A 16,312-nucleotide genomic window follows, 5' to 3' on the forward strand; every position below is an offset into this window, starting at 1 on the left:
GCTGCTTGGGGATCCAGTGAGCTCCCGGGGCCTTTCTGCTGCATCCTCTATCCCTGCATTTTGCGTGGCTCTCTAAGTTAGTCTGAAACTTCGACTGCAAACGGACCTTCAGCTTCTCTAGTGGGGGTGTGTGCTCAGGAGAGGAGGGTCTTCCTTTCTCACTTCTGCAGTTGGGACACTCACAGTATTTGGGGTGTCTCCCGGGTCCTGCAGGAGCAATCCGCTTCCTTCAGAGGGTCTGTGGATCCTCTTGGGGTTGCTGGTTTGTTCTTGCAGTGGATCTGGAGCTAAAATTCACAGTGCAAGCCTCTGCATGCAGCTCTGTCCGAAGCTGCAATCTAGTCCTGCTTCCTGTCTGCCATGATCCTTTAATTCCTCTCCTTCTGATTTTTTAAAAAATGTTTTATTATGGAAAATGTCAGACCCTTCCACAAAGTTAGAGTAGTGTAATGAACCATTATGTACCCATTACCCAGCCTCAACAGTTAGCAATTCAAAGCCTGTCTTGTTTCATGTATCTCTCTTATTCACTGTCATTACCCAAGTCACAGACATGATATTATTTTACTTCGATTTGATGTAGCTTTTTCATTGTTTATTTTCTTTTTGTAGAGATGGGGTCTTGCTGTGTTGCTCAGGCTGGTCTTGAACTCCTGGCCTCAAACAATCCTCCTGCCTTGGCCTCCCGAAGTCTTGGGATTTCAGGCGTGAGCCTCCACACTCAGCCTCATTGTGTATTTCTGAAAGATTTTTAAAAATAGCCACAATACTGTTATCACTTCAAAAAAATTCAGTTATTTAGTATTACCAGATGTCCAGCCAGTGTTCAAATTTTCCCAAGTTTGTTCATTGGTTTATTTTACAATTTGTCTAACTCTAGATCTAAATTAAGTCTATAAATTGCTATTGGTTGATATGTTACTTGTCTCACTTAATCCAGAGGTTTCCCTTTCTATCTCTTTTTTCTTCCCTTGGTATTTATTGAAGAAACTGGGTCATTTGTTTTATAGGACTTTTCACAGTCTAGATTTTGTTGATTGTATCCCCATGGTGTTCTTTAACGTACAGTTGGCCCTCTGTATCTGTGGGTTCTGCATCTGTGAATTCAATCCCGGATAGAAAATATTAGAAAAAAATATGTCTGTACTGAATATATACAGACTTTTATTCTTGTCATTCTCTTAATAATACATTATAACAACTATTTACATAATATTTACATTGTATTGAGTATTATATGTAATCCAGAGATGATTTATATTATAGGGGAAGATATGCATAGGTTATATGTAAATCCTACACCATTTTTTATCAGGGATATGAGCAACCTCGGATACCAAAATCCTGGAGGTCCTAGAACCATTGCCCCATGGATACTGAGGTGCACACTGTATTCATCTGCCCTCTGTACTTCTTGCAGATTGGTAGTTGGAGCCAGAGGCTTGATTCATGTTTGATTTTTGTGGCAAGAATACTTCTTGGGTGGTAGTTGTTATTCCATCACTACACCAATATAAACTGTAGTTATATAGATATATAACTATAATCATACCCCTGGTCTGGTTGTCTTTTTGTTGTTTCACTAGGCTTTGGTTAATTCTTTCTTCATTTCTCCTGTGGTCTTTTTCTCCACCATCAAGATTTATTTTTTTCTTTTTCTTTTTCTTTCTTTTCTTTTTTTTTTTTGGAGCTGGAGTTTTGCTCTGTTGCCAGGGCAGTGCAGTGATGCAATCTCAGCTCACTGCAACCTCCGTCTCCTGGGTTCCAGCACTTCTCCTCCCTCAGCCTCCCGAGTAGCTGGGATTACAGGTGCCTGCTGCCACAACCAGCTAATTTTTGTATTTTTAGTAGAGATGGGGTTTCGCCATGTTGGTCAGGCTGGACTCAAACTCCTGACCTCAGGTAATCCACCTGCCTCAGCCTCCCAAAGTGCTGGGATTACAGGTGTGAGCCACTGTGCCCAGCCAGGATTTCTTTTTTTTTTTTTAATTTGTAAGGCATCATACCTAGACTATCAGGATTTAAGTATCTAATTTGGCTGGGGGAAGAAAGAGAAAAACTGCTTTTCAATATTTTCATCTACTTTTAAAATATTTGTTTATGGTACCATCTCTGCTTCATCTCTTTCCTCATTTAAATATTTCTGCCATGTGAAACCATTTTACTGAAACCATTCTCATCAAGGTTATCAACGAACTCCTTGCTGAGTACAACAGACCCATCCAACCTTACTTTGCTTGATAGTTGGACAGGTTTGGATACTGTTGATTGCTTCCTTGAAATACTTTCTTGGCTTTTGAGACATACTCTCTCCTCTTTTTCTTTTACCTCTTGAACTGTTACTTTCAGCCTCAGTTGTAGGCTCTTTTTAATATAGGTGTTGCTCTGCACAGTCTCCATGGGTAATCTTACCATCTGCTGTGGTTTCAGAAAACATTTCTAAATAAAAAGTACCAAACCTTTTTTTTTTTTTTTTTTTTTTAATAGGTTGGTTCGCTTCAGAACTAACTTGTTTGTTACAGTTTGGTACTGGAGATTTCACAGGCATCTTAGAATCAACATACGTAAAATGGAGTTAATCATACTTTCCTCATCCCCTCACACATTCTAGTTTCCTGTTCAATTTAGTTTAGTTTTTTTGTTTGTTTTTTTGAGACGGAGTCTTGCTCTGTTGCCCACCCTGGAGTGCAATGGCTCAATTTCAGCTCAACTGCAACCTCCGCCTCCCAGGTTCAAGCGATTCTCCTGCCTCAGCCTCTCAAGTAGCTGGATTACAGGTGCTCGCCACCATGCCCAGCTAATTTTTTGTATTTTTAGTAGAGACGGGGTTTTGCCATGTTGGCCAGGCTGGTCTTGAACTCCTGACCTCAGGTGATCCACCCACCTTGGCCTCCCAAAGTCCTGAGATTACAGGCATGAGCCACCGCGCCCAGTCTCAACTTGGTTGTAAGCCAGAAATCACTTGACTCCTTGACTGACTTTCTCCCTTTCTGGCTGTCCACATTGAGTCACTAGTCCTGTAAGATATACCCAGTAAACAACTTAAATGCATCTCATTTTTTTTATTTACTCCTGTTGTCCTAATGTAGACCTCTGTCATCTGTAACCTTCATTACTGTAAGCTTCCTTTCTGATCTATTCTTCACTATGTAAGTGAGTGATTTTTTTTTTTCCTAAAATCTTATCTAATGGCTCCCTATTGGCCCTGGGATAAATTATAAAGACCTGAGTTTATTTTGTGGCCTGTTTGCTTGCTCAGCTTCGTCCTGAGTCATCACCCGCAGGTGGCAATACTTGTCACATTATTCACGCTGTTTTAATTGCCTTCTTGGCCGATGCTTCCAGTAGACTGTAACTTCTTGAATGTAAAGACCAAGTCCAGCCAGGTGTGGTGGCTCAAGCCTGTAATCCGAGCACTTTGGAGACCAAGGCCGGCGGATCACTTGAAGTCAGGAGTTTGAGACCAGCCTGGCCAACATGGTGAAACCCCGTCTTTACTAAAAATACAAAAAGTAGCCAGGCATGGTCGTGGGTGCCTGTAATCCCAGCTACTCAGGAGGCTGAGGCAGGAGAATCACTAGAAGCTGGGAGGCAGAGGTTGCAGTGAGCTGAGATTGTGCCAGTGCCCTCCTGGGCAACAAGAGTGAAACTCTGTCTCAAAAAAAAAAAAAAAGACCAAGTCATTTTCCCCATTAAACATGTTATTTAAGACAATACGTAGCACATAATATAAATTAAGTGTTCTTTATATGTTTGTTGAATGAATAAATTTGTTCAGTACACCAATATATTTAATGATTTATGTATGTGTTTTATCATTATTAGATAATCCTACTGTGCCAGTACTGTCATCATTCTTTCTTTTATTTTTATTTCTTAAGAGACAGAGTTTCTCTCTGGCGCCCAGCCTGGAGTATAGTGCCACAATCATGGTTCACTGCAGCCTTGACCTCCTGGGCTCAAGCAACCCTCCTGCCTCTGCCGCCTGAGTAGCTGGGACTGACTATAGGTGTGTGCCACCATGCCCTGCCAATTTTTTTTACTTGTAGAGACAGGGTCTCGCTTTGTTTCCCAGGCTGGTCTCAAACTCCTGGGCTCAAGCAATCCTTCCACCTCAGCCTCCCAAAGTGTTGGGATTACAGGCATGAGCCACCATGTACTACACTGTCATTATTCTTGTACATTCATTTGCTTTTTTGGCTAGCAGAGATATGTTTATAATTAAATTGGACTCTGTAATATACATAATATAGTGGGGGTTTTTTTCTGATTAAAGCAGGGAGTTTTGCCCTACCTCGTTTTCACTCTATATAATTGAGCCAGGCATGGTGGCTCATGCTTGTAATCCTAGGACTTTGGGAGGCCAAGCCAGGAGGATTGCTTCAGTTCAGAAATTTGAGACCAGCCTGGGCAACGTGGCAAAACCCTGTCTCTACAAAAATAGAAAAATACAAAAAAAAAAAAAAAAAAAATTAGCTGGGGTTGGTGGCACATGCCTGTATTCTTAGCTACTCAAGAGGCTGAGCCCAGCTTGGTTGAGGCTGCAATGAACCATGATTATGCTGCCACTGTACGCCAGCCTGGACAACAAAATAAGACCCCATCTCAAAAAAGAAACAGTATGAAGAAAAGTGAGACTTGAATAATTGGGAGTTGTTAAGTACCAAAGAAGTATGGTTTACTGGCTTGTCTGTTGTGTTTGGTTCCAGTTCCACTAGTTCTTACTGATTCCAACCATATTTCTCAGAATTTAGATGGAGTGATAGTGATGGCTTTCAGCTATCATTTGTAGTTAGCTGGGCTCCAGGTCAGAAGAATCCTTAAGGATTATAAAATAAATTCCTGCTTATATTTACTAGAATTGTTCTTCAGATAAGGATCTCTAATGAAATAGCAGTTGCCATAGCGAGCACCTGAGCTGTCACTTTTTCACTCAGGGCTCATGTTCGTTTTTCGTTTGTTTGTTTTTGAGACGGACTCTTCCTCTGTTGCCCAGACTGGAGTACAGTAGCATGTTGGCTCACTGCAACCTCTGTCTCCCAGGTTCAAGCAATTTCTCGCAAATTTTTGTATTTTTAGTAGAGACGAGATTTCACCGTGTTGGCCAGGCTGGTCGCAAACTCCTCACCTCAAGTGGTCTGCCCACCTCAGCCTCCCAAAGTGCTAGGTTTGCAGACATAAGCCACCACGCCTGGCCTCAGGGCTCATATTTGAAACCCGAAGGTATGCATTTTTTTTTCCTTTAAAAGAAATTGGGTCTCGCTTTGTCACCTAGGCTGGAGTGCAATGGCATGATCGTAGCTTTCCATAACCTTGAACTCTTGGGTAGCAAGCATTCCTCCTGCCTTAGCTTCTCAAGTAAGCATGCACCATCACACCTACCTAATTTTTAAAATTTTCTGTAGAGACGGGGTCTCCTGTGTTTCCCAGGCTGGTCTTGAACTCCTGGGCTCAAGTGATCCTCTTGCCTTAACCTCCCAAAGTACTAGGATTAATTACATATGTGAGCCACCACACCCCGCCTCTCATTCTTCTTTCTTCACTGGCTTATTCATTACTGTATTCTCAGTGCCTGGAGCAGTGACTGGAATGGCATTTGAAAGGTACTCAGGAAATGGTCCTTAACTCTTCTGTCCATGATAGGTTTCTAGATTGGTTGTCCCACAGGATCTTCATTATATGTTAATTTCATATCATTTGGAGGATGATTTTTTTATTGCTTTGAATTGCCTCTTCCAATCAAATTTTATATATACCAGTAGCCTCTATTTTAAGTAAGACCATCTCAAATACATTTCTTAATTAGGTACATTGGTTAAGAGAGCATAAGATTCCAGCACTTTGGGAGACTGAGGCAGGAGGATCCCATGAATACAGGAGTTTGAGACCAGCAATGTAGGGAGACCTGTCTCTACAAAAAAAAAATTTAAGAATTAGCTGGGCATGGTGGTGTGTGCCTGTCGTCCCAGCTGCTTGGGAAGCTGAGGTGGGAGGATCGCTTAAGCCCAGAGGGGGAAGGCTGCAATAAGCTGTGATCATGCCACTGCACTCCAACCTGTGTGAGAACCTGTCTCCAAAAAAACAATAAAAAGCGTAAGATTGCTAAGTAGTGTATGTTATAAATACCGGCCATTCTAAGGTTATTGGTGACTAACACTCAACCTTGAAGGTTACTTCAGTTATAGTTGGCACTGTTCGGCTTGTGCAGTTCATGAAACCCTTATCTGTTTTACCTTTTATACCTTTTTTGTAAATTTGAAATTTTACTTTTTGTCTCTAAGAGAGAATTACATTCGTTTAGAGTTACATGTTAATATTTGAAATCAAATGTATCTGGCAGGTTAACATGATTGGGAGTGGGTAAATGTATGTTAAATTTAAAAGTAATGCTGTTTTGGCTCATTGAATTATTAATTTAAAAGACAAAACAGTATGGTTTTTGACATTAGTTGACTTTCACTATAAGTGGAAAATCATCATCTAATATTTATACTAACATCACAATAAAATTTATCTTTGAAAATGAGTACTGTAACTAATAATTTAGAAATAAATTTTAAGTGAAATAATCTTTTTTTTTCTTCTCTTTCTCCTTAGGTGGAATGAATCTTACTTGTTGAATATCTTCTGGTTACTAGTTGGATTCATTTGTGAAAGAATCATTTTCCCCTGTGTGGAAGACACTTAGTGGCATATTTAAATTATAAGTCCACGGATCAAAAAGCTTTTTGATTTCCCAAAGGAGGGACATACCACTATATCAGATAAGCTTGACATTACAGCCAAGATGGTGCTGTCCCAGAGACAACGAGATGAACTGTAAGTTTCTTTGTTTTGTGCTTTAAAAAAAATCTCCCTCATGAGAGAGAAAGTAGTAAATTAAAATACAGCTTTGGGAGGTCTCTTCTAAGATTAAAACTATTTTTACCAGTGTTCCAATATTAGTTTAGGCAGTTTGGTCTGATTTTAAAACAGTCTTATTATGATATAGCATTATTTTTAAAATTTATTTATTCTTTCTGAGAAGGAGTTTTTCGCTTTTGTCACCCAGGCTGGAGTGCAATGGCGCCATCTCGGCTCACTTCAACCTCCGCCTCCCAGGTTCAAGCTATTCTTCTGCCTCAGCCTCCCAAGTAGCTGGGATTACAGGCACCCGCTACCATGCCTAGCTAATTTTTGTATTTTTAGTAGAGATGGGCTTTCACCATCTTGTCCAGGCTGGTCTCGAACTCCTGACCTCAAGTGATCCACTCACCTCGGCCTCCCAAAGTGCTGGGATTACAGGCATGAGCCACTTTGCCCGGCCGTGATACAGCATTATTCACCCTTGTGACTTGACTGTATGTAAGTTTAACGCAAAACAGACAAGTCAGTTGGGATGAGTTTTACCCTAAGCTTATTTTTATTTTTATTTTTGAGATGGACTCTCGTTCTGTCACCCAGGCTGGAGTGCAGTGGCGCAATCTCGGCTCACTGCAAGCTCTGCCTCCTGGGTTCACGCCATTCTTCTGCCTCAACCTCCCGAGTAGCTGAGACTACAGGTGACCGTCAACACGCCTGGCTAAGTTTTGTATTTTTAGTAGAGATGGGGTTTCACCGTGTTAGCCAGGATGGTCTCAATCTCCTGACCTCGTGATCCGCCTGCCTCGGCCTCCCAAAGTGCTGGGATTACAGGCGTGAGCCACCGCGCCTGGCCCCTAAGCTTATCTTTTAAAATATTATGTTCAATAGGAAGTTAGGTGCTTCATAGCTCCTCTAAACCTTTTTTTGGTGTGGAATCTGTGCATTAGAAAAATGAAAGCTGTTTTGTTCTTGTTATCACTGATGTCTTTCCTTTGCCTTGTTGTGTTTCTTTTATCTTCCAATGGCCATTACAGAATTTGAAGAATTTGAACTTTATGAGGTAGCTAATAAAATAATTAATGCAGATGCTTTAATGAGAGAGGTGTGAAATGGTTTGACCTCTTCTGTTTTAGAGTATTTTATAGCATTCCATTTTTATAGGTGAAGAACATAGGGGGATTTTCCACTCCCCCGCTTCACCTGACTAGCTTTAAAAACATAAAAACAAAACGGGAAAATGTAGCTTTATGTTCTACTTCTTTTTTTTTTTGAGATGGAGTCTTGCTCTGTCGCCCAGGCTGGAGTGCAGTGGTGCAATCTCGGCTCACTGCAACCTCCGCTTCCAGGGTTCAACCAATTCTCTTGCCTCAGCCTCCCAAGTAGCTGGGATTACAGGCGCCTGCCACTGCGCCCAGCTAATTTTTGTATTTTTAGTAGAGAAAAGGGTTTCACCATCTTTGCCAGGCTGGTCTCTAACTCCTGACTTCGTGATCCTCCTGCTTTGGCCTCCCAAAGTGCTGGGATTACAGGCATGAGTATGTTCTATATTTTTACAATTAAAAAAAAAATTTTGTGGCTTTTCAACAATTTTTATTTGGAAGTAATTTCAAATTTATAAAGTTGCAAGATTAGCACAAAGCATACTAATGTTTTTTGAAATACACCCATTGTTAACATTTTGTACCATTTGCTTTATCATTTGCACTCTGTGTGTTGGGGGTCTGTGTGTGCAGTATGCAATAGGTTTTTCTTAAACCATGTTAGAGTAAGTTGCATATATCAAAGAAATACCTTTTCCCACAAATAAACTTAAGTAGTTCCCCAAAATAAGGATATTCTATAAAACCATAGTATAGCTAGCAGTTTTATTAAATTTAACCTTCCATATTCCAGTTTTATCAGTTGATTCCATAATGTCCTTTGTGGCACTTTGTTACTCTCGTACATCATCCCATCCAGGATCAGGTATTTCATTTAGCCCTCATGTGTCTTCAGTCACATTTAATCTGGAACAGTTCCTCAGCTTTTGTCTTTTTTTTTTTTTTTTGACCTTGATGTTTTTGAGGAATAGTCTTTGTTTTAAAATAGAGTATTTCTCATATTGTCCTTTTTTTTTTTTTTTTTTGAGACAGAGCCTCGCACTGTCACTCGGGCTGGAGTGCAATGGTGTGATCTCGGCTCACTGCAACCTCCACTTCCTGGGTTCACACTATTCTCCTGCCTCAGCCTCTCGAGTAGCTGGAATTACAGGCGCACACCACCACACCCGGCTTATTTTTTGTATTTTTAGTAGAGGCGGGGTTTCACTGTGTCGGCCAGACTGGTCTCAAACTCCTGACCTGGTGATCTGTCCACCTCAGCCTCCCAAAATGCTCATATTGTACTTTTCTAGTGTTTCCTCATGATGAGATTCAGGTTACGCATTCTTGGCCAGAATACTACATAAGTAGTTTGTATTCTTCTTAAGAGAGTTGGATTTAGAGAGACATAATGGTCATCTGCCCCTCAGTTTTCATCCTCAACCAAGATGATTGATTTTTTCACTGTGTAGTTACTGTCATTTTCTTTACCACAAATAAGTGGGAAGTACTTTAAGACCATGCAAACATTCATGTTTTCCATCAGTATTTCCCTCCTGGATTTGAGGTCTATTGATTCTCGCCTGAACCATCTTTACTACAGTGGTTATAGAGTGATGGTTTTCACCACCACTCATTCCACACTACAGGCAGCACTTATCATTTTGCTGTAAGCAAGGGACTTTCTTTTTCTTCTTTTTATTTACTTGTCTTTTTTCTTTTGTTTTTGTTTTTGTTTTTTTGGGAGATGGAGTCTCACTCTATTACCCAGGCTGGAGTGCACAGAGTGCAGTGCTGCGATTTTGGCTCACTCCAACCTCTGCCTCCCGGGTTCAAGCGATTCTCCTGCCTCAGCCTCCCAAGTAGCTGAGATTACAGGCACCCACCACCACTCCTGGCTAATTTTTGTATTTTTAGTAGAGACAGGGTTTCACCATGTTGGCCAGGCTGGTCTTGAACTCCTGACCTCAGGTGATGCGCCCACCTCGGCCTCCCAAAGTGCTGGGATTACAGATGTGAGCCACCACACCTGGCTGTCTTTTCATTATTGGTGTGAACTCATGAGTTCTCATATTTTCCATAGTTTATCATTCATTACTATTCTCACTGTTTTCATACTTGAATTGTCCCAAATTTGGCCCATGAGAGCCCCCTCAGTTGATGCTTTTGTATGCTTCTATCATTTTGGGAGATTATTTCCTTACTTTCTAGAATAACAAGATGTTCCGGGTTTACTGTGTACCTATCCTGCCTTAATTCTAGAATCAGCTCTTTCTCCAACAAGCTTTGGTTCTTCTTAGTGGCGCATGATATGTATTAGAGACCAAGATACGGGCACTAGGTATGGGCATTATTACTGGGATGTCTTTGTTTCTGGGCCCTTTAAGTAGACAGAGGTAGAAAATACATGCATGTATAAATACATATACTGACACCCTAGTATACACATATACAAGTGTTTTCTCAGTCTTGGCACGATTGACATTTTGGGCCAAATAATTCCTTATTGTGGGGTCAGTCTTGTATAGTTTTGGTTGTTAGCAACATCTCTGGCTTCCACCCACTAGATGCTACAAAGAAAATTATCTCCAGACATTGCCAGTGTCACCAGTTGAAAACTACTGATAAGTACCTACATGTCCACATACTTAACTTTAGAAATCATTAGGCTACAGTGATGCTTCTAATTCTGGTCTGTCCCCACAGAATTCTTTATCTTCTCTCATACCATTTATTTGTATCCCTCTTCTTCTATAGTGAGAACTCTGACTCCCAATAATATCAATAGATTGATTCACTTCCTCAATTCTGTAATATAGGATGAGCAGCCCAAGTCCAGAAATCCAAAATGCTTCAAAATCTGAAACTTTTTGAGTGCCAACATGACACTACAAGTGGACAGTTCCACACCTGACTGACCCCATGTGACAAGTTGCAAATGTTATTTAAAATTTTGTATAGAATTACCTTCATTAGAACTTGGGGATAAGTGTTCAGAAAAAAATAAATAAAATTGCCTTCAGTCTGTATGTATAAGGCATTTATGAAACAAATGAATTTCGTGTTTAGACTTGGTTGAGTCTCATATCCGAGATACCTCGTTAGATACATGCAAATATTCCATAATTTAGAAAAAATGTCGAAATCTGAAATACTTCTGATCCCAAGCATTTCAGATAAGAGCTACTCAACCTCTACTTCTCAAATAGTTTTAGAATTGTTTCCCTCATACTTCCACGAAGACCAGACATCCGGGAAAGGATTGAGAATTCGCATGCAGCTCTGCTCCTGCCTGTCCTGCCCACGACATGATCATCAAATGTGTTAATAGGTTACTTAGAATTTGTTTTGTTGTTGTTTTCCCTCTTTGCATGATGGTATTACTCATTTGAAATATAGTTGGGTTCATCTTGCTTGTTTTCATCCTCCCCCTCACTCCCCGCTGTCCTATCTTTAATTTTTTTAATATATAAACCATTATCTATAGAAAAACATGTACCCAGAAGTGTTACTCTCTTCTGAATCCCTTCCACCATGTTACCCCCAACTCCTTTCATCCCTTGAGGGAACCAAGCTTATTGTTTTTAAAAATATGAGATAGATATATATCTTCTTATTTCTCCCTCTTTCTTAAATAAAAGTAGCATACTGTATATGTTCTTTGTTTGTTTTTTTGTTTTGGAGACAAGAGTCTCATTCTGTCTTCCAGTCTGGACTGGAGTGCAGTGGCATGATCATGGCTCACTGCAGCCTTGACCTCCTGGGCTAAAGCGATTGTTACACCTCAGCCTCCCGAGTAGCTGGGACTACAGGTGCATGCCATGCCACCATGCTCAGCTAATTTTTTCCTTTGCCTTTTTTGTTTTCCCCCTTTTGTGGAGAACGGGGTCTCGCTATATTGCCCAGGCAGGTCTCGAACTCCTGGGCTCAAGCTATTCTCCTGCCTCTGCCCCCCTAATAGCTGGGATTACAGGCATGAGCCACTGCACCTGGCCACACTCAGCTAATTTTTCTTTAGTTTTTGTAGAGATGGTCTCACTATGTTGCCCAGGCTGCCTCTGGGCTCAGGTGATGCTTGCACCTAGGCCTCACAAAGTGCTGGGATTACAAGTGTGAGCCAACACACCTGGCTTTTTTTTTTTTCTCTTCCCCCGGAGACAGAGGCTTTCTCTGTTGCCCAGACTGGAGTGCAGTGGGGTGATCTCAGCTCCCTGCAACCTCTGCCTCCTGGGTTCAAGTGATTCTTGTGTCTCAGCCTCCTGAGTAGCTGGGGTTACAGGCAGGCACCACCACACCCCGCTAATTTTTTGTATTTTTAGTAGAGACAGGATTTCACCATGTTGGCCAGGCTGGTCTCAAGCTCCTGACCTCAACAGATCACCTGCTTCGGCCTTCCAAAGTGTTGGGATTACAGGCGTGAGCCACCGTGCCCGGCCCACACCTGGCTCTTTTTGATGTTGTTAAAGACAGATTCAACCCCTTTCGCCCAGGCTGGAGTACAGTGGCGCAGTCAGAGCTCACTGCAGCATTTAATTTCTGGGCTCAAGAGATCCTCCCACGTCAGTCTTCTGAGCAGCTGGGACTGCAGGCTCCCGCCACCACATCTGGCTAATTTTTTATTTACAGATTTTTTTTGTAAAGATGAAGTCTTGCTATGTTGCCCACGGTGGTCTCACTCTTGGGCCCAAGCCTCCCGAGTTGCTGGGATTACAGGCTCAAGCCACTGAGCCTCTCTTGCTCTTTTTTTTTTTTTTCTTACCAATCCAGTATCTCCTGGAACTTTTTCCATATAAGCTCATAAAGTTTTTCCTTATTTTTCTTTTTAAAACAGTTGTAGGCTGGGCACAGTGACTCATGCCTGTAATCCCAGCACTTTGGGAGGCCGAGACGGGTGCATGACCTTAGGTCAGGAGTCCAAGACCAGCCTGGCTAACATGGTGAAACCCCATCTCTACTAAAAATACAAAAAATGAGCCGGGCGTGGTGGTGGGCGCCTCTAGTCTCAGCTACTCGGGAGGCTGAGGCAGGAGAATCACTTGAACTTGGGAGGCGGAGGTTGCGGTGAGCCGCGATCACACCCTTGTACTTCAGCCTGGGCAACAAGAGTGAGACTCCATCTCAAAAAATAAATAAATAAATAAAACAGTTGTATATGTAGTACCTAGTTCTCTACTTATACCTTAATGTATTCAACCAGTCTCCCGTGTTTGGTATATTTAGGTAGTTTTCAATATTTTGTAACTCCAAATAATACTGTAATACATAACCCTGCATATGTGTACCTTTGTATTATTTGGAGGTATATGTGTTTTTTTAGTCATTGTTATTTCTGAGTCAATTCAGATCTGTCTTCCAGATGCTTTGTATGAACTCACTGCAGTCACACTACCTTCATAATCAGGATAAGTATTTAAGCATTATGATATTATGGCCCAAAAGAGAGCTTTTAATTTGAATAAAAATAAAGTGAAAGAGGAGAACCTAATTTCAGATGACTAAATTTATAGAGAGCTTTAGATAAATAATTTAAAATGTTCATCAGGCCAGGTGTGGTGACTCACACCTATAATCCCAGCATTTTGGGAGGCCGAAGTGAGAGAATGGCTTGAGCACAGAGGTTCAAGACCAGCGTGGGCAACCTGGTGAAACCCCGTCTCTACAAAAAATACAAAAATTAGCCGGTTGTGGTGGCAGGCACCTGTAATCCCGGCTACTCAGCTGGCTGAGGCAAGAGGATTGCTTGACCTTGGGAGATTGAGGCTGCAGTGAGCCATGATCATGTCACTGCACACCACTCCAGCAACAGAGCAAGATCCTGTCAAAAAACAAAAACAAAAGTGTTCTTCAAGCAAAGAAAATTTGTCTTATAATAAGATTTAAATGTAAATCTGGGGCCGGGTGCAGTGGCTCATGCCTGTCATCCCAGCACTTTGGGAGGCTGAGGCAGATCACTTGAGGTCAGGAGTTGGAGACCAACCTGGCCAACATGGTGAAACCCACCTCTACTAAAAATGCAAAAATTAGCTGGGCGTGATAGCGCATGCCTGTAATCCCAGCTAGTCGGGAGGCTGAGGCACAAGAATCACTTGAACCTGGGAGGCAGAGGTTGCAGTGAGCCGAGATCGCACCACTGCACTCCAGCCTGGGGGACAGAGGGAGACCCTGTCTCAAAAATATATATATTTATATATATATATATATTTTTTGTTAGACGGAGTCTCGCTCTGTCCCCCAGGCTGGAGTGCAGTGGCACGATCTCAGCTCACTGCAACCTCCACCTCTTGGGTTCTCCTGCCTCAGCCTCCCGAGTAGCTGGGACTACAGGCGCATGCCACCACGCCTGGCCACTTTTTTGTATTTTTAGTAGAGACGGGGTTTCATTGTGTTAGCCAGGATGGTCTCACTCTCCTGACCTCGTGATCCACCCGCCTGGACCTCCCAAAGTGCTAGGATTACAGGCATGAGCCACCACGCCTGGCCAAATATATATATATTTCTAAATAGCTAAGGAGTTGAGATTAAAATAAAACTTAGGAGCTGAAGACATCAGTAATAATGAGGGTACTGATAACAAAAACCTATCAGATACAGCCAACATAGCCTACAGAAAATACAGTCTTCAATGAATCTTTATAAAAATGACAGAAAATGAACTATGTGTTCAATTTAAGGATAAGAACGACAAAATAAGTCTAAAGAAAGCAGGAAAGGGGAAGAATTAATAATAAATAAAAGCAGACCTTAATAAAATAGAAAATAGTCCAGTAAACTTAATTGATAAAACCAAAAACTAGCTTTTTAAAAAGACCAGTAAAATAGACAGTTTTTTAAAGAGAAAATTTATAAAACCAATTTAAGAAAATTTATAACCAATTTAATAAAGAGAAAAGACATAAATGAACTTTATAGGAATGAGAAATTCAACATAAAATGAACTCAGATGATTTTCAAACTTATGAGAGTACGGTATCCTATTAGGTTTGAAACAATCTGCTGGGCGCAGTGGATCACTTGAGGTCAGGAGTTTGAGACCTGCCTGGCCAACATGGTGAAGCCCCATCTCTACTAAAAATACAAAAATTAGCCGGGTGTGGTGGCACATGCCTGTAATCCCCACTACTCAGGAGCTGAGGCATGAGAATTGCTTGAACCTGGGAGGTGGAGGTTGCAGTGAGCCAAGGTTGCGCACTCCAGCCTGGGCAACAGAGTGAGACTCTGTCTCAAAAAATAATAAAATAAATAAATAAATTTGAAAATCTGAATGACCTGGGTGCTTTTTCTAGGAAAATATGTGATAACATTGGTTCAAGAAATAGTAGGAAACTTGAATAGATCATTAAATATAGAGAACATTGTAACATTAAAGATTTCAAGCCCAGGCAGTTTTTAAGCCTAGATGCTAATTTTTTCAAATCTTAAGGACCATTTGCTTCCCAGATTACATTGCTTTTTCCGGGACATAAAGGTAGTAAATTTAGGAGCTTATTTTATAAGGTGGGCACCACCTTCGTAGAAACACTGGGTGAGGCCAGGCATGGTGGCTCACACCTGTAACCCCAGCACTCAGAGAGGCCGAGGTGGGTGGATCTCTTGAGTCCAGCCTAGCCAACATGGCAAAACCCTGTCTCTATTAAAAATAAATTTGGCTGGGCACAGTGGCTCATGCCTGTAATCACAGCACTTTGGGAGGCTGAGGCAGGTGGATCACCTGAGGTCAGGAGTTCAAGGCCAACCTGGCCAACATGGAGAAAGCCCTTCTCTACTAAAAATACAAAAATTAGCTGGGCGTCGTGGTGCACACCTGTAGTCCCAGCTACTTGGGGCGGTGAGGGAGGTGCGAGCTGAGGCACGAGAATTGCTTGAACCCTTGAGGTGGAGGTTGCAGTGAGCCGAGATCGTGCCACTGCACTTCAGCCTGGGAGACAGAGTGAGACTGTCTCAGAAAAATAAAAATACAAAAATTAGCTGGGCATGGTGGCACACACCTGTAATCTCAGCTACTATTTTGAAGGCTGAGGCGTGAGAATCACTTGAACCTGAGAGGCAGAGATTGCAGTGAGCTGAGATCATGCCACTGTATTCCAGCCTGGGTGACAGAGTGAGACCCTGTCTCAAAAAGGAAAACAAGAAGATTACAGTCTAATGATTTCTGTGAACTCAGATTAAACATACTAAATAATATAATAGTGGAATCCAGTCGGATATGAAAAACATTGCTCATTGCCAAATGTATTCATCCACTCTCATGCTGCTAATAAAAACATACCCAAGACAGGGTAATTTATAAAGGAGAGAGGGCAGCCGGGCGAGGTGGCTCACGCCTGTAATCCCAGCACTTTGGGAGGCTGAGGTGGGTGGATCATGGGGTCAGGTGATTGAGACCATCCTGG

General features: G+C 41.7%; 1 protein-coding gene across 8 annotated transcripts in view; it reads left to right on the top strand.

Annotated features, from left to right (window-relative positions):
- PAFAH1B1 (platelet activating factor acetylhydrolase 1b regulatory subunit 1) overlaps nt 1–16,312 on the top strand; it is a 92,433-nt gene that overhangs the window by 38,319 nt on the left and 37,802 nt on the right. For 6 of the 8 annotated variants that reach the window (XM_017024701.2, XM_011523901.3, NM_000430.4 and 3 more), the window contains one exon: nt 6,598–6,819. In XM_017024701.2, coding sequence (XP_016880190.1) covers nt 6,788–6,819 — 32 coding nt within the window. In that variant the 5' untranslated portion in view covers nt 6,598–6,787. Of the gene's footprint in view, nt 1–3,885; nt 4,010–6,597; nt 6,820–16,312 lie in introns of those variants that run through there. The other 2 variants (XM_047436162.1, XM_011523903.3) reach the window with 2 other exon arrangements.

This window comes from Homo sapiens, chromosome 17 (assembly GCF_000001405.40).
Source record: "Homo sapiens chromosome 17, GRCh38.p14 Primary Assembly".
NCBI classification, from domain to species: Eukaryota; Metazoa; Chordata; class Mammalia; order Primates; family Hominidae; genus Homo; species Homo sapiens.